General features: G+C 35.2%; 1 protein-coding gene across 20 annotated transcripts in view; it reads right to left on the reverse strand.

Moving 5' to 3' along the window:
- CDH18 (cadherin 18) overlaps positions 1-23,914 on the reverse strand; it is a 1,104,418-nt gene that overhangs the window by 147,618 nt on the left and 932,886 nt on the right. For 2 of the 20 annotated variants that reach the window (NM_001349562.2, NM_001349563.2), the window contains exon 6: positions 3,212-3,300. The exons of the other annotated variants lie outside the window; for them this stretch is intronic. The gene's annotated coding sequence lies outside the window, so the exon portion shown is untranslated. The remainder of the gene's footprint in view (positions 1-3,211; positions 3,301-23,914) is intronic. 20 annotated transcript variants of the gene reach the window in all.

A 23,914-nucleotide genomic window follows, 5' to 3' on the forward strand; every position in this document is an offset into this window, starting at 1 on the left:
AAACATCTTGGCAGCAGTAAGTCTTCTCTTCAACTGCCTGATTATGGTGATTTAGGTACCTATAAAATTCTTTATGTTATCTACACAATTTATATTTAAGTATTTTAATATTTAGTATATTATATGCTATATATATTACACATTCTGAATTTTCCCAAACGATTTTATGAAGATAATGCATCTTCCATAAATTCTTGTCTGTATAGAAAACAAAAATAATCAGACATTTAACGGATGCATATCCATCAGCAGCATAATCCAGAAATCTGTTTTCTTCATTCATCATTGGCAATTCGAAGTGTGCTGAATGTGTTTCTACTCTGTATAAAATGTGGGATATAAACACATATAAGATACAACTTACGAAGTTGAAATGCTATGATTAGAATGTTCAATGATATGGAAACAGATATGCAAATCTGTACAGTAATACAGAAAACATTTTAATAAACACAAAACACAGACTTCAGAGACCATAGTGATCACAATGGAAGCATATGAATGAAGAGTACCTGTGGGGGAAGGCCATGTTTGTAGGCTGTGAATTGCATGGAGAAAGCAGGGTATTCATGGAAAGGGCACTTGACATGAACCCAGGCTTGGGGTCTGGAATATGCATGGCAATATTGGACAGTGCACAAATTTAGCTTCAGTGGAAAGTGTTAGTGAGACAATGGCAGAGATTAGGTACTCAGTGATTAAAATACACCTTACATTTAAAGGTTAATTTTAATTTTTACAAACATTCAATATTTTGTTTCTCAAGTGGCTGAAAGTTTAAATAATTCTACTGCTGCCCTTGTGGAAAGTCAAGATTGACCAAACTTCCCTATTTGTCAGTCACTGTTACGGCTGCGGTTTAGCCAGGGTATGGTTGTCTCTATCTCTACTGGTAAATTTAGCACATTTGTGACTCCAAGCTTCCAGTGGGTGATGGATTAAAACCTCAGATTTTATTTTACTTATAAAGAAAAATATATATGAAATTATATTAGACACTGGCATCTTAAAATTTCTTCTAAAACACAAGCTACTTAGCTGCAAGCTTGATGGATTAAAACCTCAGATTTTATTTTACTTATAAAGAAAAATATATAAGAAATTATATGAGACACTGGCATCTTAAAATTTCTCCTAAAACACAAGCTACTTAGCTGCAAGCTATGACTCATGGAATTAGCAATCATAAATTCATAGAGGTAGACATTTTTATGCTTTAGTAGGAAGATTCAATACTTCTCTATATGTTTTTTCTCTTCCTACCATGAAAATTGATGGTGAAGTAGTTTATTTCTGCTGAGGAGAAAAGGAAGGATAATTCACATGTTTTCTGTAGAGAATGTGAATTAAGAATTCCTTAAGGGAATTCCTTTAGGGTATATACGTCGTGTATTTATTTCCACACACTCTATTAGAATGTGAAAAGAAAAGCTCGAAATGTCAATAACTCCTCTCAGATCACAAGATTACCAATCTGGAAAATTTGAAATCATACCCGGGATTTCCTGACACAAAAATCTTCATGCCACAGTGGCATTAGCTCAAGGAATTTAGCCCTTGTAACTTGCAGAGTTTATAGGACAGAGTTGGTGTATTTTGAGAGGGAGAGATAGAGAGAAAAGAGAAATAAAGAGGAGGAGAATAAGGAGGAAATGAAGAAGCAGAATGAGAGAGGGGGGACATGATCATAAAAGTGGTCACTATCTAAGAATTTGAAAATATACATCAGGCAGATGTAGTTATTTTAATACATCACTAAAGATGTTTCAAACTTAGAATGCTTTTTTTTATTTTTGCTTGCATTTTATTTCTGTTATTAGTATTCAATGTGATCTGTGTTTTCAAAAGCTCTGTCTTTCTTGCTGATATATTTAATAATCATACTGATAAAATCATAGGGCTGCCCAGGGATTCTGCAAAGGGCTACTCTTCTCCAGATTGCCAAACCTTCAGCACAACTACTCCATTCAGCAAAATGGAATTTACTAACAAATTTAGATAATTTACTAAGAGCATAACAGATGCTCCTTGACTTACGATGGAGTTGCATCATAATAAACCCATTACAGAGCTGAAAAATGGTAAGATGAACTATCATGGGTAAGAGACTATCTAAATATGGCAAAAAAGAAAATTAAACTGTAGACTTTCACAATAGGTTTACCTGTGAGTAAATATCATTAGATAGCACAGGAAAGTATCACTTTTCTGCTTAAAGAGGTGTAATTTGCCACTCCCTCTTGATATGAAACTCATTGCACATAGTCAGAAGCCCTGTGGTTTAGCCTAAACAAGAACCCAGGTTTTTTTTTTTTTTTTGGATGTAGAAATTGATGTTTCTGGATCATAAGGCAGTTCTATTTCTTAATATTGTGTTGAATTCCTATGCCGTTTCATTCCCACCAACAGTATGGCTCTCCAACCTCATCAACACCTGTCTTGTTTTTTGATGATAGCCATCCTAGCTAGTATGAGGTGATATCTCCTTGTGGTTTGGATTTATATTCTTCTGATGACTAGTGTTGTTGATTATCTTTTTATATACCTGTTGTCCACATCCAATAGAATTATAATCGGGATCTCATAGAGATACCTGCACTCCTATGTTCACTGCTGCATGAACCTCAAAGACATTATGTAATGTAAAATAAGCCAGTAACAGAACAAATACTGCATGATCTTACTTATATGAGGAATCTGAAAATGTCAAACTCACAGTGTCAAGAATAGAATAAATGGTGGTTTTCCAGGGGCTGAGTGAGAGGGAAATGAGTTGTTGCTGTTTAATGTGTATAAAGATTTAGATGTGCAAGATGAATAAGTTCTAAAGGCTGTACAACACTGTGCCTACAGTTAATGATACTGTATCGGACACTTAAAAATTGTTTAAAAGGTAGTTCTCATTAAGTGCCATTACCACAATTAAAAAACAAAATAAAATAAAACAGTAAATAATGCAGCCAGTAACTATATATTGAATGGGACATTATTTTTTGTGCTCTTAGTCACATCCTTCTGCTTTCCAGAGTTGATGGAGCATATAGAATTCTGTTGCCATGTGTGCATTCATGAAATCATTCACACATTTGTCTTAATAATTGTTGTTTCTGGATGAAAAAATAAGAAAGAAACAGCTATGGGATCCTGCTTCAAATATTTCTCTACTGTTGGCCAACAGACCCTCAAATAGACTTTGAAAGGATGTCTGTACCTTGGCAATGTGATTTCAGAAGCAGCCTCTCCTGGCCAGGTTAGATTCTAACAGCATTGGAATCAAAGGTCCGCATTGTAGGGAATTTCCTTCAAGAGATGGCAGAAACATGGTAAGTAAACTCGGGTTACTGAAAGTTCTGATGCCAACTGCTCAGGATACAGTCTTTTGTATAACAGAAAAAAGAGTGAGAACTGGAAAAATAAGGTCCATCTTGTTTCAAGTGGCCATTAGCCCTTAGGATCTTCTCTCTGTAGAGAACCAACTATCAATGCTACTATCGCTACCATTTAGAGAAAATGATCTTGGCTTGAGGGATTAACGAAGCCTCCTATAAATTCTTTGACAATAGTCCCATCAGTCATCTGGGTCTATTTGCCTTCTCCTTAAATTTGTGCTGGCCTGTGACTGCTTTAATCAAGGCAGTACAATGAAAGTGACATTAGCAGTTTTTGCTCTGTTCTTGAGGGGTTTAGAAGCTGCTGCCTTGATCTCTTTAGCCTGTGAGCTTTCTGGTAAGTGATCTAGCTAGATTGTTAATGACACCATGTAGAGAGGCTCTGCAATCACATGGAGAAAGTGAGGCATCCAGCTGGGCCTAGTCTCCTAGCTGTTCCTACTAAGGCACTAGGCATCTCACTGCACCCATCCTTGAACTTCCCTGGACCCATCCTTGAACCTCCACACAAGTTGATATGTCAGATGGATGCTTTACCCAGTATTCCAAACCAACGTCATACGGATTAAGAAATTGCCTAGACAATCCCTGCTAAATTTCCTGGCTTCCAAAATTCTTGTTTTGAAAGCTCTCCATAGTAGTTTGATTTACCCCAAAGGAAAACCAGTTATGTTTGGTTTTCTAGATCAATTGCTAAGACCATTAAATCATACTATATATTGTGTACCTACCATGTCCTCTTGCCTTCCTCTCTTTCTGCCTCTCTTCCTCTCACTGTCTCTCTCCAGAAATGGAGTGCATGACATATAGAGAAACAAACATAACTCACAAATGGAATATTTCAGCTATGGTCCATTGTAAGCATATTTCATGAGTTCAGGTATATGTTGTATTTAGAGGATAAGCAAGTGAAGGAAAATGAACCTGACCTCCAAATAATTGCTGTTTAGTCAACACATAGAACACGACTTCCTGTAATTAATGAATAGTTATAAAGAATTTTAGCATCAGGAAACTTACACTCTATGGGGAGTATTGAGATTATCTATGCTATTTATGGGATACTATTAATCAAGAAAATTAGAAAGATAACTAAAAACATTTAAATATCCTATACAAGTTATATTTCATTTCTAGATTTAGTTAAGTATGATTTCCCAAAATAGCTTATTCATGTGGCTTATAAAAAATTTGTGTGCTCAAATTGCAAACCCATATGAGAAATATTATCATATAGACATATGATGCTTATTTATTCATTGGCATATTTTTATCTTATTCTGCTTTTTTTTGGTTTTTGCTTTGATGGTTTAAATGAGTTCAAAAGATGAGATGCTTTATGTAGATTTTTTTAGTCACAGTTACTATTAGAGAAAGGGTATTTAATATGAATGTCACAAAAACACTTGGAATACGTGTTGTTGAGACAACTATATTTAGAGTCATATAATTTTAAATATATTAAAACACTACTATATAAGTATATACATATATCAATGACCATCTAGTTCCATTAGTAATGATATAATTGACAACATAGGTCCATAAGTAACTGAACATTGATGATTTCTCCTGCATTACCAATTTAGTTATTGTGACATCTGGTTTCCTAATTTATAAAAAATGATTTATTTCTCTTTTATATCATGATTTAATTTATAATGCATTATGTCACACTCCATTATTATTATTATTATTATTATTATTATTATTATTATTATTGAGATGGAGTTTCACTCTTGTTCCCCCAGCTAGAGTGCAGTGGCGCCATCTTGGCTCACTGCAAACTCTGTCTGCTGGGTGCAAGTGATTCTCCTGTCTCAGTCTCCCGAGTAGTTGGGATTGCGGGCGTGCACCACCATGCCCAGCTAATTTTGTATTTTTAGTAGAGACTGGGCTTTGCCATGTTGGCCAGGCTGGTCTTGAACTCCTGATCTCAGGTGATCTGCCTGCCTCAGCCTCCCAAAGTGCTGGGATTACAGGTGTGAGCCACCACCCTGGCTGCCATACTCATTAATCTAAAAAGACATGGCCACTTTCCAGCAAGTTGGCTGTCATGTTAGGCATGCTATATGTATATACAATATATGAATATTATTAAAGCATGCCTACATATCATATACATGTTATTTATGTCACATGTAGCAAATATGCAGCACTGAAGTAAACACATATATCTGATTCCTAAAATTATTAAGATTTCAGAGATATGTATATGCTTTTTTCCTTTAGCATATAGTTTTAAGTAGAGTCCAGAATTGGGCCAAAGTAGCCAGAACTTTATACACCCTCCTTCATTCTGTCACTGGATGAGTGCTGTCCTGGAAATGGTGCCACTTCAGGAAAGGTTGAGATAGTTCTGAAGGAGCTGACAGCTGGAAGTGTGCTGCTGAATGCACTCCCCATGCTGGAGAGCAAGTTTTTCCCTAAAGGAAGCTCAGGACCACACGTCTCTATGTCTACCAGACAGCAAACCTGCTTTGTTCCCCTTAATCTCTAGTACAAGCCCTTCCGATGTTGATTAAGGTTGCATGCTACACTGAAAATACTAAGGATAGAGGTTAAGCAAGTGTGAGATCATGAAGAGTGGCCTTGGATTCCTTTATCCTGAGAGCTGTAAACAGTTATTCATTCCTTCAATTGGTAGCTATAGAATGCCCTCTTGAATCCAGGCACTGTTCTAGGTGGAGAAAATTGCTGCCCTTGTAACGGTGGCATTCTAGGAAGGGCAGATTAGTGAAAAAAAAAAAAAGATAATTAAATCATACATAATAATACCATATATAGCAGATTAGTTGTGGTTAATGCTCTTATTTTCTGTGGTTCTCATGTTGCCACATCCAACAGGTAATTGCTGTCCTCATACCACCCTCAGTAATACTGGCCCCAGGCAATTATGCCTATCCTTCTGAGAGATTATTTCCTTGTCTTTCTCAATTCTACTGCCTTGTTTTGTATTGCCATTACATTAATTTCTTATTTTCATGCAAATTTAATTCTTGTTTTTGACAAATTATTTGTTTTTTTTTTCCCCACTAGAACAAAAGCTCTACAAGACCAAGGATCTTTGTTTACTGTGTTTTCATTGCTGTGCCCTCATTGCCTAAAACAATCTGCAAATCATATTGTCCTCAAATACCACAAACTGAGTGATTACAAAAAAAAAGCAAAAAAGTATTGTTGCACTGTTCTGGAATCTAGAAGTCTGAAATCAAGGTGTTGGCAGGGTTGCTTTCTTCTTGGGGCAGTATGGGATTGCTCGGTCCCAAGCCTCTCTCCCTGGCTTATCATTGGCTGTTTTCCTACTCACGTGGACTTTTCCCCATATGTTCAAATCATCTTTCCTTTGTGTGTATCTCTATGTTCAAATTTCCTTTTTTCATAAGGCACCAATCATAATGGATTATGGCCCACTGAGACAGCCAGATGGGAGGGGGTCCCTGGCAAAACTCCAACTGGCCTGTGCACTGGGGTAGAGCCACAGAAGTTCACCCCATTTGCAGCAGGGAGGAGAAGCCTGGCCCCTCCTTTTCCTGGGTGGAACTTGGGATTCAAACAACGAGGCAGAAAGCACTCTAGCAAGGACTCAGGCCTTGAAGAGAGTCCCTTTTCCCCCCTTTTCTTCCTTTTCACTCAATAAAGCCTTGTGTTACTCACCCTTAAAAGCATCTGCCAGCCTAAACTTTCAAGGCTGTGGGACAAGGACCTGTCTTTAGCTGAACTAAGGAAAAGCCCTGTAACACCACAGCATGTCACTTTAACTTGATGATTTCTGTAAAACCCATAACTCCAAAGAAGGTCACATTCTGAGTTACTGGGGGCTAGGGCTTCAATATACGACTTTTTCATGGGGAGAGGACACCACTCAAGCGACAACACTAAAGCAAAATAACAAATAGCACCAAGAAAAAAATAAAAACATATTGACTGTGTAAATTTGTTCTTTGAGCCCATATTAAAGATATTAGTTAAGCAAAATCACAAGTGTTGACTTGACCAAAAAGGGCCTGAAGTCACTCAAGAAGAGCACACAAGATGTGAAAAACAGATGTGCGAAAGAACACAACGCCAGAGAAAACATGGAGATGGAGAAAGACTTTTGTGTGGGTTCCCTAAGGATAGAGGTTAACCAAGTGTGAGATCATGAAGAGTGGCCTTGGATTCCTTTATCCTGAGCACTATAAACAGTTATTCATTCCTTCAATTGGGATAGAGGTTAAGCAAGTGTGAGATCATGAAGAGTGGCCTTGGATTCCTTTATTCTGAGAACTATAAACAGTTATTAATTCCTTCAGTTGGTAGCTATAGAGTGCCCTCTTGAATCCAGGCACTATTCTAGGTGGAGAAAATTGCTGCCCTCACAACACTGACATTCTAGGAAAGGCAGATTAGTGAAAAAAAAAAAGATAATTAAATCATACCTAATAATACCATATATAGCAGATTAGTTGTTGTTAATTGCTGAGGAAAATTAAACATTTAGTTTGGGCTTATGGTTTTAACTAGGACTATAATAGTGATATGCTGGAATTAGCTAGTTCTGGGTCACAAGTGCTGATTATTATGCTTTCAAAAATTTCGAGAGCTGGCTCATAGATATAATTATAATTAAACATTAAATTATATAAACTTAAAAGTTCCCTTTCACTTTAAAAAGTAATAAATATTGAAAACTCACTACTTTCAAATTGTGTTACTATATTTTACCATTATCTATAATTTTGATGTTATTTATGTCTACTTTATCTGTATGGTGTAAATATTATAGAACAATGTGTTCATCTTTTCTCAACTCCATGTTCAATCGTGTCACCTTGGTAACTTGAAAATCAGTGGCAGTGGATGTATTGATCTGGTGATTGTCTAGACTTGAGAAAGTAAAGGAGAAAACAACTAAAGCAGTTTAAACCCCAAAGTAACCATTACATTGCAAGGAACACAAAACATTGAAGAAATAGTATCCTAAATAATAAAAATGATTTTTAGCTTAGCAAAATGCAGCTCATATTGATGAACAAGTGAAATTGAGACGAACATCATTTATCTACACATTTACGTAAGTAAAAATATTAGCCAATACCTAAGCCAGAACAAAACTTACTTGCCAATGAACTGAGCAACTTCTTTGCTGAATCAGATAGTAATCAAGCATTTATTTGCAATAAAATATTATCAGTATTCAACAGATTGCAACAACTGATTGGTTATGGATGCAAGAGTTCAGTAAAAATCAATGTAAATATTCTGTAAAAATCAATTGACTATGTGGAATTTCCAATCAAGAGTAATATATATTCTATAATTGCTTGTAAATTGTGTGCTACATATCTTTTATATCTGTAAAATTTATATAAACATACACTTATATACATGCATACATATTTCTGGTTGTTAAATATTTACTGGCATGCCACTGACTGCTAGCAATAAACAGGCTTACTTAAAAGAAGTGATAGAGAGGTCTAGGCAAAAAAGAATCATATGCACAAATGCCCTAATGTGGGTGCTTTCTAGGCTATTTCAGGTACATTCATGGGACCAGAATATCTAAGGTAAAAGTAACAGAAAGAACCAGTGATGATATCAGAATGATGATGATGGGCCAGGTAATTAAGAGCAGGCACATCACTATCATGCTGTTAGCTTTGTTTGTAAGTAAGATGGGAAGCCATTGGCAAGTTTTGAGCAGAGGAGTGATGATATGGTTTGGTGCTGTCTCCACCCAAATCTCATTTTGAACTGTAGCTCCCATAATTCCCACGTGTTGTGGGAGGGACCTGGTGGGAGATACTTGAATCATGGTGGTGGTTTCTCCCATACTGTTCTTATGTAGTGACTAAGTCTCACGAGATCTGATAGTTTTATAAGGGGTTTCCTCTTTCGCTTGATTCTCATTCTCTCTTGTCTGTTGCCAGGTAAGACATGCCTTTTGCCTGCCACCATGATTGTGGGGGCTCCTCAGCCACGTGAAACTGTGAGTCCATTAAGTCTCTTATTCTTTATAAATTGCACAGTCTTGGGTATGTCTTTGCCAGCAGTGTGAAAACAGACTAATACAAGTGACATGATTTTATATATTTTAACATGATTGTTTTGAAAGTTGCTTTGGGAATAAATTGTGTGGAACAATGATAGAATTAAGGAGATAGGTTAAAAGAGAAATGAAATAAAGTTAGTTAAAATAGAAGTGAGGAGATGTGGTGAAGTCCTGGATATATGTTGACGGTAGGGTTTCCTGATGTCATAGTCATGTGGTGTGAAAGGAAAACAGGAATGAAGGATGATCCAAAGTGTTTGACCTAGAATACAGAAAACTGTGAGATGAACTGTTTGTGGGGAGGTGGTTGGAAATCAGGAGTTCAATTTTGGATCTACTCTGAGATTATGTCTCAGAGACTCAAGCAGACATATTCAGCTGGCATAACATACACTGGTTTTTAGAGGAGCAAGCTAAAATAGTAATATAAATATGACCAGCATAAAGATACTACTTAAAGCCCTTAACCTTATGAAATTAGCATAGAAATGAGTATGTATAGAAAGAGGCTCAAATACTGGATACTGACACATAAGATTGAGAGAAAAGGTAAAAGCAAAAGATGCCCACTGATCATTCAGAAAGAAAAAAAAAAAACTAAGAGGGTGTGGCATTCTAGAAACCAACCAGTATTTCAAGGGATAGAAATTGTTCCCTTGCGATAAATGCTGTTGCTAAGTAAAGTATGATATGGCCTGAGCAGTGTGAGGAATGGAGTCAGAGACATCATAATGAGAACTGTGGCAGTCTGCCCTAAATTTAATAGTGGATATGAAATGAAGAAAATGTTACGTTAAGTGAATTTTTAAGCATAAGAAGACTGGTTGGAAGTAGAGGATGAGGAAAAGGGAGTGATTCTAATGACACTCAGGTATTTGGCTTAAGTATCTGAGTCAGTGGGGAAACCTCTACAAGATGAGAAGTATCAGGTAAAGATCAGTGAAGAGAGTGTTAATTTGGGATATTTTGACTTTCATGTGCTTAAGAGAGGTATCTATGTGAAAGTCTGATGGAAAGTTGAACACCTGACACTCTACAGAAAGGTCTGGGCTGGTGAGTCAAGACAATAATGATAACTATGAACAAAAAAGATGAAAATGAACTCATTCTTGCCCAACATAATGAAGAAAGGGCCACTTATTACAGTTAATGGTCTAAATTGCTCCCTCTTGAATCTTCATTCCCTGAATCATATACTAAAAAATTACCAATCAGGCTGCAAGAGTTATCTTTTTAAAGAGGCAAGTGAGATAAAAGTCAATCTATCTAATCTTAATGAATATAAAACAATCAAAGACTGGATATTTCGACTGCATATATTACTTTGTCTGTTTATATAAATATGTCTATTGGTTGAACAAATTAGCTGAATTACTCCTTTAGGTTATCAAGGTATACTTCAAATTTAATCAGATAGCACAATAAGAGGTTGACTATATAAATTTTTTTCAACCAAATTTGAAAGACTTTTCACACTATATAGGGATCATTTACATATAATTAGAAAAATAGACAACATATCACAAAAGTGAAGAAAAAAATTTGTAGAAGAAAATTAATTTAAAAGAGTAGGAGGACATAGATTTTTTATTTTTATTTATTTATTTATTTTTTTGAAACAGAGTCTCACTCCATCGTACAGGCTGGAGTGCAACAGTGCGATCTTGGCTCACTGCAACCTCCACCTCCCGGGTTCAAGCAATTCTCCTGCCTCAGCCTCCCAAGTAGCTGGGATTACAGGTGCCCTTCACCATGACCGGCTAATTTGTTTTTTTAATTTTTAGTAGAGACAGGGTTTCTCCATGTTAGCCAGCCTGGTCTTGAACTCCTCACCTCAGGTGATCCACCAGCCTCGGCCTCCCAAAGTGCTGGGAATACAGGTGTGAGCCACTGTGCCTGGCCAGGATGTAGATTTTTTAAATTTTTTATTCAGTTATTGATTTAAGATATCCATCCTTATCCCCCTTGGCTACTCATTCATTAGTTATCAATGTGGCCCTTCCTTTGTTAATCTATATCCTATGTGAACTAATATCTGATATATAAAACATTTGCTATGGTAGCTTTGTATTCTTAATATTTCAACATTTCCTGAAGTTACAAATGGAATAATGGGTTTAGCAAGGATCCATTGGGGTGTGTGTGTGTGTGTGTGTTGTTTTGGTTTTGCTGCTAAGAAGGCTTGTATTTTGTCAGGTGGTCCATGATACTAGAGTTTGGAAGTGGCTACTATCTAATTCTCAGGCCAAGGCCTTGCTTCGCCCACTCACTAGTCATTCAATATTTTTCTATCTTATTTCTTAGTAGGGGGATCTAGCAGGAAGTAATAGAAGTAGGCACCTAAGGCAGCCTATAAAGTAAGTAAAGCAAAGGCTGCATTAAAGAAAGTAACATAATGCAGACTGAATAGAATGAACGGGTCCCCTAGATGTATTTGGAAATTTGCAAAGAGTTATTTAAAATTTGAAGAATGAGCTCTATTAGAAAACAGGGGAAGAACCCGACAGGATTATAGAGCAAGACCTGAACTAGAAAGGGAATTAACATGGCAAATAATGGCTAAGGAAGAAGGGCTAAATGAGGCATTGATTTAGTTATATAGAGACTGTTTTTCTCTTAAAATAAAACCAGAAATTGTATCACTTTTGTTGATTTAGCACCTTTCACTGCTTATTTTAATGCTCTTCAATCTTAGGGTTCCAGAGAACCTATAAATGTCTTTTCACTGACTCAAGCACCATTTATCAAAGTTATTGCATGATCTCACCAAGCAGGAGTTTAGGCATCTTCCTCTGTGCTATTTCCCTTTCAGAGATAATTCTAAAGGGAATTAACTAAAGAGAGAGCACCACATTTGAGTACAAGTCGATCATAAGCCTGAAATATTTCACGCATATGAATAATTGAGAAGATGTAACAAATGCAAATTTTTACATATTCTCAGTTAAAATGGAAGCAGTGGCACAATATAAGTGAAACATAATGCTTTTCCATTTTGATCCCTTGTTTTGGCATTTGAGAATCAAGCTGACTCTCGATTTGTCAATTTTTTCTTTGATCATGTATTAAACTGTAGCAATGTATTTACTTAAGTCCTACGTTTAAGAAATATATTTTTATTTCTTAATCTTTCTATTAAGGTATCTTTGGCAAGGTCACTTAACCAAACAGTTGGCAAATTCTGAAGCGATTTTCAAGTTACAGGCTTGGTCAAGAAGCTTTACTATATTCCACAAAAAAAAATACTTAAAACTTTATTGAAAGACTTATGAAGTCTGTTAAAAATCCTAAAATTAATTTATAAAAATTAAAGACAAGATAATAATGTAATTTTGAACTACGGGAAGATATTAACCATCACCCAATAACTACATTTAAAATCACTGAAAGGTAGTATCACATCTTATCCTATCATTGGCATTTATATGTGTAATGAACTATTTAAAAATATCTATTTCCTTTATTATTTGGAAGGATTTCTGTCTCTTTTACTTGGCAATTCCACTTTTTTTGGTCATTAATTGCATGTTTTAGCCATTTTTTTCTAGGTTATATCTGTAGACTAATTTCATAAATGATTTATTTCGGTCATACAGTATAGTTGAGGGTTTAGAGTAGTAGAGCCAATTGTCTGCAATGAAACCTTGGTTCCACCATTTCCTTACATAATTTTCCTCCACTCTATATGAAAACACCTAATAATTCATATTTATATGATCAATGTGACATTACATTAGTCAGTTTATGAAAACATTTTCCAGCAGTGTATACCACATGGTAAAAGCCCAGTATAATTATCATCTGCTTTAAAAAAATAAAGAGTACTTTCTGTTTTTTAATTTTGTTCAGAAATGGACATATTTTCTCCAAAGCAGACATATAAGTCTGAAACTTCACAATTCCTGAACCGTTCTCTGATTTGTATTCCTTCCTCGCCCCCAGTCAGTGAATTCAGAATGGTGAGCTATTTGTTTTGTTCACCCTAGCGTTAGCAATATCATTATTTGTATTAATAGTTCTAGAAATGTGTCTTTTTTGTTTACAATTCCAACTGGATGCATTTATAACCACATTTTTCACAGGTTGACTACTCCACACTTTCTTACCCAAATGTACAGTTATTTTGCCTTAATTCTTTCCGGGTTTCTTCTGGCTGATGATTCTAAAGTTTTCATGTCATTGTTATTTCCAAACACAGGGCTATCTCTTTTTTTCTTGAATATTTTCCTAAAATCCTAACTATATTATCAAACCCTTATTACCTGTTATCATGAGTGTCACCCATTTATCTCTAAGGTATGCGCATAATTATGAATACCTTCCATGTACCAGGTAATATGTTAAAGTGCTTTTTGCAAATATTTCATTTAATTATCCTGTGATCCATATTATGAGTTACAAACACCTGGGATTATAGAACACTTAAAAGCTTACTCATGTTCTATCTTTCCTCTTTAACTGGGCACTGTGGTTCAGGTGAAGAAACTGGTTTTATTTGTGCCCCCTCTGTGTTCTACAGGTGCTTCCTCTTCCACTGAAGCATCACCCCATGCTCTTGTTTGTATACTCCAACTAGCTGCTGTTTTGCATCAGCTGGCTGCAAAGATCGTTTTCAGACTCTTGGAGGAGGTCACTAATTAGAAAATACAGTGTGGTGGTGTGAGTAGTGGCCAACGTAGTGTGCTCATTCACACTGCATTAACTGGCCTTCAGCGTGCTTATTTAGTCCCTTGTCGTATTCAGAGAAAATGTTTGAAAATTCCTATACATACTGATTTCTGTGATGCTTCTTTCTTCTCTAGTGGATTTACTACGTAGTGTCTTCAACTTTTACACTTCATTCTTGCTATGGAACGGAATTTAATAATGATACAGATATCAGCATAATCTGTACCTGTCCACAAATATTAAATACAGCTTATTTCTCCCAATTGCATTTTGCATGCTAAAAGGACAAAATTCCAACAAATTAGAAATCACCAAAATAATTCACTTACTTCATTTAATGAAGTCATTAATTCAGTGAACGTTGATTGCATTATCAAGTGTTAAGTGCTCAGAATACAAATAAGTACAGAAAACAGTTCCCAAATGGATATTCTCACCGATGGCATGGTGTTACATTTTTATATTATATAACTATATTAATTCAAAAGAAATTATTACAAACATTTCTTTATAAAATTATTTTGACCATGAGGCATAGTGGGGTGGGGAGGGAAGGGGAAGTGTCTCTCCTACTTCATGTTTAAATTACTTTTCTGGCTACCGAAACTTGTTTTTGATTTGTTTTCATTTTTTTTTAATTGAGACAGGGTCTCTCTCTCTCACCCAGGCTGGAGTGCAGTGGTGCAATCTCAGCTCACTGCAACCTCTGCCTCCCAGGCTCAAGCGATCCTCCCACCTCAGCCTCCAAGAAAGCTAGGACCACAGGTGCGCACTACCATACCCACCTAATTTTTTAGTATTTTCAGTAGAGAAGGGGTTTCATCATGTTGCCCAGGCTGGCCTCGAACTCCTGAGCTCAAGGGATCCACCCCTCTCAGTCTTCCAAAGTGCTAGGATTACAAGTATTAGCCACCATTCCTGGCCACTGCCAAACCTTGTAGGCCCTGGTAGAAATGGTTGAGAAGATTCTGGGTGTAATGATATCACTTTAGTAACTTCTTACTTGTACTTTGGAAACATTGGCCATCTAATATCCAACTAATGGGAATTTGCTAGTGATCAAATTCAAGAGAAATCCCTTTTCCCCAAAATAAGCTTGTGGTGGCATGTAGAAATTGAATTGAAAACCTATTTTTGTCTCATCTAATATTACATGAAGCTATGTTTGCAGAATTGTTTTAACTGTGTGAAAGAAAATGCTTGTAAATAATTATATTTTGATGAATAACAACGTTGTTATTTACTAAAGTCAGATGATGCTTTCTTTTCTTTTTATTTCCCCACCAGATAACTAGGTTGTATTGAAAATATTTAATGATTAAAAACATGAGCTCTACAGAGTGATAGGGTCCAAATCCTCTTCTCACTGGATTAACTCTATGGCGTTATGGAAATTACTTCCCTACGACTCAATTTCTTCCTTTAGAAAAATGTGGGTCATGAGTTCTCATTTGGTCGTAAGGCTATTATAAAGATTAAATAATGTAGTATATGCAAAGCACATAAAAAACTGCCTAGAGAAGCACAAGTAACATCATAAGCAAAAGTTAGCATTTTTCTTATTGTTTTATGTTATCATGTGCCCAGATGACTAAATAATATAATCAGCTTAGCAAGAAATATTCTCCCAAAGAATGTATTTGGATAGGCTGGGTGCAGTGGCTCATGCATGTAATCCCAGCACTTTGGGAGCCTGAGGGTGGGTGGATCACCTGAGGTTGGGAGTTCGAGACCACCTTGACCAAAATGGAGAAACTCTGTCTCTACTAAAAATACAAAATTAGCCTGGCGTGGTGGCACATGCCTGTAATCCCAGCTACTTGGGAGGCTGAGGCAGGAGAATTGCTTGAACCCGGGAGGCGGAGGTTGCAATGAGCAGAGATCACACCATTGCACTCCAGCCTGGGCAGTAAGAGCTAAACTGCATCTCAAAAAAAAAAAAAAAGAAAGAAAAAAAAGAATGTATTTGGTGGGTGCTCATAATTTTTATAGTGGTTTAAAGCTTACCAAATTTCCTAACATAACCTTATTTTCAATTCAAAATACTCCTGTGAGGTGATATAACACAATGTTTACACATTATTACTAATTTACTCATGAGAACAAAGACAAAGAAAATCAAATACTAATCTAGAATAGCTAATAAGTGCTTAGTGATTTTCCTCTGTCTATTGATGCTAGTTTTGCTTTTTCAATAGAAAGAATATGTATACCATGTTCCTTACATGGATTAGAAAATCCATCTAATCACAGTTGCCTGTAGGAGTACTTTATATCTTACTACTGGGAACCTTTTTGACATAGATACATCAGATATGCTTACTGATGTTTGATTACTATGGAGTGCTTCAATTACATTAAACAAAATGTACATACAAAAATACATATGGAAACTCTAAAAGTCATCTTCTCATAGTTTAATTATCATGCCAAAATTGTTACCATTTTTACCAGAACCATTCTGGCAGATCAGAAGTGAGAGATGGTTGTTTTGTAAACCCTTGATGACAAAGTCATCTTTGGTAGTTGCACTGGATGGTTGGAAACATGTAGCAATTTGTAGGGAAAAATGATTAATAAGTGATTGAGGTAAGTGACTACACTGTATTTTGACCAAAACAAACAAACAAACAAACAAAGAGTATAAATTCTTAGAATGCAGACTATATGTTATTTCTCTACATATCATCTATCTACCTACTCATCTGACTAGGTATCCATTTATATATTTTACTTTCTTTAGTTACAAACTGTTTCTAAACATAATTTTGAAAGGAGAGTTCAATGATATGTTTAACAAGTTTAACATGGTTGTTCAGGATCATATTATCCAAAGTAACTGCACTGCCATGTAAGCATCATTGGATGTGTTTTGGCAGAAGAAAAAGGAGACATTCCTGTTAATTTTTCTTCAACATGTATATTTATTATAGGTTATGGCAGTCAAGAAAATGTTGTTGAAAGTAAAGAAAAATTTCGTCTTAGTAAAGTGCCGATGAATTGTGAAATACTACCCATAAACCACTATTTGCTGAAATAGACTTGGCTCAATCAATGATTTTCAGTTATTAAGTTAAAAAGCCCTCCCCTGATATTTATATAGTCTAATTAAGTTAGGACAATAAATGATACAGAAAAAGGACTATAAACTAAATTTGCAAGTATACCTAGTTTTGGAATTTAATACATATTAATTACACTTCTTTTTATTATTTTATTTTTTCAATTGACACAAAATTGTATGTATTAATCATGTACAGTATGATGTTTTGAAGGATATATGCAAAGTGGTATGGCTACCTCTACATAATTAACATATATATTACACCACATAGTTATCCTGTTTTAATGGTTAAAAAAAACATGCATCAAAACGTTTTTTCCAACCAAAAATACATGACATAGTTTTATTCAAATAATCTTGTGGCTAAAATGTTGTACTTTATTTTCAATTGTTTGTAAATATTCAGTTCATATAATCTATTTTGAGTGTAAAAAATAATGTGTTTAAGGTTTAACTTTTGATTGTTTACCTTTTAAAATTTTGACTCTTAATTTTTATATATACTGCTACCTCTAATCTCCAACATTTATTATCAATATAAATTAAATCCAAAGTATTTTCATTTATAAAGATAAAAAATATTTATATAATTTTTTGATATCACTATGGTCACTAAAAATAAATAACTGTACTCTATACATTCTTTATGTCTTCCATATTCCATCAGAATTTTCTCATGCTATGTTCACAGTTTCTTACAAGTTAGCAAAAAAAAAATGCCTTTGGATGTTAAGAATGAAAATAAAACAAGCTGAAATCAGGATAAGATATATTCTTTGTCACATCTCTAATCCTGTTGGCATTTTGCAACAGTTTTCTTTTGTAACTTATTTACATAACAATGGATTTACCTTTTATAAGTGGTTTGATTCTTCTCTTTAAGCGAGAAATGACAGAATACTGTCTCCTCTCAAGCAAAACTGAGAGAAAAAAATTGAATCCAAACTATCTGTGCCTTTCCTCTAATGCAGTTTTACTCCTCAGGGAAAAATTAAACTAGTGCTTTTGGAAATCTATATATCGCAGGTAGATTTCTGTTTTTTTGTTTTCCTTTTTCTTTCTCTTTCTTTCTTTCTTTCTTTTTCTTTCTTTCTTTCTTCCTTCCTTTTTTCCTTCTTTCTTTCTTCTGATTTTTAATTTATAAATTATAATTGCATATATTTATTGCACAGAGTATGTTGTTTTGAATTATGCATACACTGTGGAATGGTTAAATTGAAGTAATTAATATATGCATTTACCTCACCAGGTGGATTGTTTAGAATTGGACACTCTAATATCACGGCTGCCATGCCAACTCGACTCTCTATTTAATATCACACATTTCCTTGTTCTGGTCCCTACACTACTGATTCCTATTTCTACTTCTAATTGCACCTTTTATTTCGCAGCAGTTACGCCTGACAAATATTCTATCTTTGGCCAAAAGCTATTTAAGCTCTCCTGAACTCTCCTTTAAACTAGCCAATGATTTTGGGCTTTATGTTTGTCTCTGCATTTCCCAGTTTTAGCAAGAATCCTGCTAAGTCAATTTCGCTCGAATCCTCTGTCGTCAATACCTAATCACCCTTACTGTCTCACTGGGTTCCTCGTCACCAATCACCAGTCAATGTCTGCTTATCCCGGCCTGCCTGTAGCAAGAAACTTCACCTTCTCTTGATGTCTCCTATTAGTAATTTTCCATCCAGTGACCTCTTGCTTTTCCTCACCCAACTCCTTGGATATAAATTCCCAATTTTCTTTGTGGTATTCAGACTTGACCCTAATCTCACTCCTAAGCTGCACCCAAAACCCAATGCAATGGTTTCTACATCTATCATGACGATCCTGAATAAAATCTGTGTACCATGCTTTAATAAGTGTCATAAATATTTTCTATCATCGCCTTCTAACATTCTCTATAATTCTTTTTGTATTATCTTTCTATTATTTATTGCCCATCTTCTCTTCACAACTTCTGACAGCTAGAATGTAAGCCAGGTGTTTGTGAATATTGGTTTGTTTCGTTTGTTAACAAAACCCAAATACCTTATATGAATGCTTATTCATATTAATACATAACAAGTCGACAGTAAACATTTGTTAAATGAAAGAATAACTGAATAAAATACAAGATGATCATTAATGTTGCATACAGCCTAATAGAAGTACCATATTTTCTCTAAAATTTCTAGAATTACGACAGTGAGACTATAACTATCAAAGTCAGACCTCAATCCTCACCAGAGGATATTAAACAGACATTTTAAAATCTGCACTTTCTTAAGGCTTTCCTGCCGTAAGTGCATACCATCTAATAGAACCACAACTCCTAATGTTATGCAGTAAATATGGATTATTCGTTAGTTTTCTCCTCTTTTCCCATGTTATGTGGAAAGAAATTCCACCTCATCCTATCTTCCATAAATATTGAAGTCAAGGTGGTAGTTAGATGAAGAGCAAATGTTTCTTTAATGTGTTTAAGTCTTTACTAAGTTTTTTTTTTCTTTTTTTTTTAATGAGCTGCATAAGTTAAAACAGTTCCTGGATGAGCATGAGGTGGTATCAGCAAGTGGAACAGTAGGAGGTTCCTGCCTTCCCCCCCCGCGCCCCACATAAAAAAATTATCCAGCCATCCATGAATGAAAACTATTTCTGGATAGCTCAGGAGTTCAGTTAAAAAGCTGCAGCAACACAGTAAAGAAAAAAGACTAATTATATTAAAAGGATAGGATAAGGAGTTCCATTTTGCCCGCATCATCCCATCACACAGCTCAATGCAAAGAGGGATTTCCCAGCCCACGAGTTTCCTTTTCAATAACAAGGGGAGCAGTCAACAATTAGTTTCTTCAGACTTTTTGGGCAATATTCAAAGGACCTGCTTTCATCCCACCCCTCCCAGATCGCTGGGAAGTTTTTTGTTGCTGTTTTTTTTTTTTTTTTTTTTTTTTTTTGTTTGTTTTTTCTTTTTTGAGACAGTCTCACTCTGTCTCCCAGGCTGGAGTGCAGTGGCGCGATCTCGGCTCACTGCAAGCTCCGCCTCCTGGGCTCACGCCATTCTCCTGGCTCAGCTTCCCTAGCAGCTGGGACTACAGGCACCCGCCACCATGCCTGGCTAATTTTTTGTATTTTTAGTAGAGACGGGGTTTCACCGTGTTAGCCAGGATGGTCTCTATCTCCTAATCTCGTGATCTGCCTGCCTCGGCCTCCCAAATACTGGGATTACAGGCGTGAGCCACCGCGCCCGGCCTGATGGCTGGGAAGTTTAACATAGTAAGGAAGTGCGAAGATGGCTAGAAACAAAGAGGAAGAGTAGAGGTTATTAGTAGCAGCCACTGGGTGGATGCCCTAACAGCCTGCTCTACAGAACACCCAAGCAATCTTTGCTATTAAAGACATCAAGAGCCATAGCTGTCCCAAACATTCTAGAAAGGGAAGTACCCCTGCATCTTTTGAGAAAAGGAACTGATGCTCCATCACTATGGGACAAAGCGACTACACCCTTGTCCCTCCCACAACCACTTGCATGCTGGGATCTCAGAGGCACAGTCTCTCCATGAGCAACTGCACCTAAAATACTGGTGCCACTTCTTCAGAGAGCACACAAGTGCTATAAACATCAGAGCCACTGCCACAACAAATAGCCCTGTGCTCCAGCCATTTGCTCCACAGACACATGCCCCTTGCGTGCTACAGCCGTGACTGCAACAGGCATGCTGACATATCACATCCTATTGCAATCTTTCCATAATGCTGCATATCAGCATTGCAATCAAATTGTACAATGCCAAGGACAAAGGTATAATTTTGAAAGCAGCAAGAGAAAAGCAATTCATCACATACAAGGGAATTACCATAAGGCTATCAATGTCGTTCTCAACAGAAATCTTGCAAGCCAGGAGAAAGTGAGATAATATATGCAAAATACTGAAAGAGAAAATCTACCATTCAACATACTATACCCAGAGAAATTATCTTTTAAATGGAGAGAAATAAAGACTCTTTGAGACAAACAGAAATTGAGGTAGTTTATCACTACTAGATCTGTCTTATGAGAAATGCTTCAGGTAGTTCTTCAAGTTGTAACTAAAACATAAACATATGAAATAATATGAAAACAAACATTTTACTGGTGTGGCTAAATATACAGTCATATGCAGACTAATGTAGCACTGTAATAGGGGTCCATAATTTCCTTTAAAAACTAATCATTAAAATATAAAAATCTATTAATAGATACACAATATAGAAAGCATCAAATTCTGATTACAAGGGTATTATATGTGGGTGAGGAGTAAGTGTAATGATTTGGTATACGATTGAAATTAAGTTTTCATCAACTTAAAATAGAAGATATTTTATGTAAGACTCAAGCTAATCACAAAGATAAAACCTATAATCAATTCAAAAACAGATAAAGAGAAAAGAATCAAAGTAAGCCACTATAAGAAATCATCAAATAGCAAAGGAATACGGCAAGACAATAAGAAAACAGAAATAACCAGAAATATGTGGAAACTAAACAGCATTCTTTTGAACAACTATTCGGTTAAAATGAAGTCAAAATGAAATTTAGAGAATATTTCCAGACAAACAAAGATAAAATCAAACTGTATCGAAACTTTTGGGATACAGCAAAAGCAGTCCCAAGAAGACAGTTTAAAGCAGTTAAAGCCCATATTAGAAAAGATGAAATATTTCAAATAAACAGTATAACATTAAGCCTCAAGAAACTAGAGAGAGTAAAACGAAACCAACTAAGCCTAAAGTTGGCAGAATAAAAAAAATATAAGGATTATAACTAAATCAGCTGGAGAGAAAAAATAGACCAAATCATCAGAACTAAATTAGTTTTGTGAAAGATAATATTGACAAACCCTTAGCTGGAATGAGAAAAAAAGAAAGATGGCTCAAATAAATAAAATCAGTAATAAAAAAGGAGATGCTACAATGGATGCCTCAGAAATGAAGGGGATCAAAAAGCATCCTTTTTATGGTTATTGTGCACAATTATAGGCCAGCAAACTGGATAATCCAGAAGAAATGAAAAAATTTCTAGAAATACATACAACTTACCGAATCTAAATTTTTCAAAAAAAAAAAAAAAGCCAGAATTGATCAATAACAAATGAGGAAATTGAATTTTTAAAAAGCCCAACAAACAAAAGCTCAGGACCAGGTATCTTCATGGTTATATTCCACCAAACATTTAAAGAAGGATTAATATCAATCATTCTTAAACTTGTCCAAAAATAACAGAAGAAATAGGAACACCTCTAAACTCATTCCATAAGGCCTGAATCACCCTGATACCAAAATCACACAAAGGCACTGCTTGAAATGAAAATGATTGGTCAATATTCTTGAAGAACATAGATGCAAACGTCTTTAATAAAATGCTATAAAAAGTAATTTAACAGCACATTAAAAGGGTCATACACCATGACCACGTGAGATTTATCAATTGGTTTGCAAGAATCGTTTAACATATGTAATACAACAAATTAACAAAATGAAAAAGAACTATATGATCATCTCAATAGATGCAGAAAATGGATTTGACAAAATTTAGCATTTATTAATCAGTAAAATTCTCTCAACAAAATAGGTATAGAAAGAAGCTTTCTCAACACAATTATGGTCATATATGAAAAGCCCACAGCTAAAATCATAATTTATGGAAAAAATTGAAATCTTTCTAAGATCCAGTATAGAGCTAGGATATCCACTCTCATTATTTCTTTTCAACTTAGTACTTGAAGTCCTAGCCAGTACAATTCAACAAGAAAAAAATAAAATAAAATAAAAGGTACCCAAATTGGAAAGAAAAATTAGCTTTATTTGAAGAAAATACCTTTATTTTCAGGTCCTCTGCATATATGTAGAGGTACTAAACAACAACAACAACAAAAAAACCTGTTGGAAATAATAAATCTAGTAAATTTGCAGGATCCCAAATCAGTACATCAAAATAATTTGTGTTGCTATACAAAAACAATGAATTATTTGAAAAAGAAATGGAAGAGACAATATTCACAAAAACAAAAAGAATAAAATACTTTGGAATAAACTTGAAGAGGCAAAATATTTGTACACTGAAAATTAAAAACATTGATGAAGGAAATTAAATAGATAGATAAATGGAAAGACAGCATATACCCACGGATTAGAAGAATCAACACTGCTGCAATGTCCATGCAACCCAAAGTGGTCTACAGATTCAATGTAATCCCCATCAAAATCCCAATGACTTTCTTTATGGAAATAGAAAAAAAAATCCTAAAATTCATCTGAAACTGCCAATACCCTAATATCCAAAGCAATCTTGAGTAAGAAGAACAAAGGTGGAACTAACATGCTCTCTGATTTCAAAATATATTTCAAAGCTACAGTAATCAAAACACCATAATACTTAAACAAAAACAGATATACAAACCAATGGAACTGAATAGAGAGCTAATAAAGAAATTCAGTGATCTACGGCTATCTGATCTTTAAAAAGGATGCAAAGAAAATACAGGGAAATTATAATCTCTTTGAAAAATAGTGTTGGGAAAACTGGACATTCCATGCAGAATAATTTAAATGGACCCTTATTCTCACTATTTACAAACGTCTACCCAAAATGGATTAAAGATTTAAAGGTGAGACCTGAAACTGTAACAGTACTAGAAAAAAAAGATAGGGGGAAGGCTTCTTGCTATTTGTCCAGGCAATAATTTTTTTGGATAATTACCCCAAAGACACAGGCAACAAAAGCAAAATAGGTAAATATAG

Source organism: Homo sapiens, chromosome 5, assembly GCF_000001405.40.
Source record: "Homo sapiens chromosome 5, GRCh38.p14 Primary Assembly".
NCBI lineage: Eukaryota > Metazoa > Chordata > Mammalia > Primates > Hominidae > Homo > Homo sapiens.